This window comes from Homo sapiens, chromosome 7 (genome assembly GCF_000001405.40).
Source record: "Homo sapiens chromosome 7, GRCh38.p14 Primary Assembly".
Lineage (NCBI taxonomy): Eukaryota > Metazoa > Chordata > Mammalia > Primates > Hominidae > Homo > Homo sapiens.
In genome coordinates, this window is record NC_000007.14 from 67,413,251 (window position 1) to 67,414,846 (window position 1,596).

The window sequence follows — 1,596 nt, forward strand, 5'->3', positions numbered from 1 at the left end:
TATTCTCCACCTCCTAGACTTTTGCTCTTCTCTCTTCCCTCCAATTCAGATCTCACTGGAATCAATATAGTCAGAACTGAATTCACCTCCTTCCCCTCCCAGCCAGCTTTTCTTCTGGCAATTCTGATTTGTCATCTCTCTTTCTCACTCCCAACATCTGATGTGGGATGGTCAACAGCTCATGTGAAGTTCAGACACTCCTCTCTATTGGTAAGGCTTATATGTCTTGGGTATTTCTTGGTGTCATTCAAGTATAGGCAAGATGTTGACCCCCTCCAGGGCAGATCAGACTCACTTCCCTGAATATACCCCGTCCCCAAGCCTGAGCTGGGCAGGGCCAGCTGTGGCTCCCAGCTCCTTCTCAACCTGTCTCATTTTGCAGGAGCAGATGCTAAGATGGAATTTGGAGTGCAAAATGTTTATAGGGATCACACCTGTGCAAGAGGAATGGGGAAGAAGCAGCTGTGGGCAGAGACAGAAGTTGAATGGCAATGTGGACCCTGCATAGCCTGCAGCCAGGGCTCCTTGGAAACACCTGCATGGCATTACGTCCTTATCCCACAATCCCATCCACCCACCTGCTGCAAGCAGATACTCTCTCCAGCTCCCTCTCTCAATGGAAGGCAAGTCTATTTAAATATTGCCATGTTAATGGCCGTGAAGTGGTTTGCTCAGCAGGCTAGAAAAGAACCTGACTCAATTTGTATTTATGCTCTTAACCTCTGCTGAAGATTTCCTCTTGGACTGCAGATCACGATACCACAGTTTCATTGCCCTGGCACAAGGGAAACAATTTCTCTCCATTTAAAGGCTGTGATAATGCTTTATGAGGGTGCCCTTCACTTGCTGAGATATTAAAATGATAATAAATCAAAGTTCAACACAGTGGATGAGCCGCAGCTTCATCAACATTTAGAGAATCCCTTGTAGATTTCCTGGTGAATTGCCCTTGATCCTTCCTACTCGTTCGTACTTAGGCTCCTGGAGAGAATTCAGAATGCAACAGAGAGAGGCTAGGGGATGCAGGAGAGAAGAAGGAAGTTTTGCAATTTTGGTATACCTGGTCTAAGTGGGACCTGTGGCAGGCAGAGCAGACAGGAGGGGCTGGCTCGTGTGTGATTCTAAGGGGCGGGTGGAATGGGGGTAAGTAGCTTTTAGAGACCTGCACATTCATGTCCCTCATCCCAATACTCCTTTTCTGGGGCCATGTATTCATGGAGGCTGAGAATGATGCATACCTTCAAGGCTGGGTGTGGTGGCTCACACCTGTAATCCCAGCACTTTGGGAGGCCGAGGCAGGTGGCTTACCTGAGGTCCAGAGTTTGAGATTAGCTTGGCTAACATGGTGAAACCCCATCTCTACTAAAAATACAAAAATTAGCTGAGCATGGTAGTGGGCACCTGTAATCCCAGCTACTCAGGAGGCAGAGGCAGGAGAGTCACTTGAACTCGGGAGGTGGAGGTTGCAGTGAGCTGAGATAGCTCCATTGCACTCCAGCCGGGACAACAGGAGCAAAACTCCATCTCAGAAAAAAAATAAAAATAAAAAAGAATAAAAATCCCAGCAGGGAAAGCAATGCCCCCAAGAGAGGAGAA

The 1,596-nt window shown here is 47.7% G+C and overlaps 1 annotated feature.

Moving 5' to 3' along the window:
- Positions 423-1,111: an enhancer, noted in NCBI's record as "OCT4-NANOG hESC enhancer chr7:66878660-66879348 (GRCh37/hg19 assembly coordinates)". NCBI's record gives its function as "activates a minimal SCP1, AML or CMV promoter by ChIP-STARR-seq in naive and primed H9 embryonic stem cells {active_cell/tissue: H9 hESC(naive and primed)}" and the evidence as "EXISTENCE:reporter gene assay evidence [ECO:0000049][PMID:30033119]".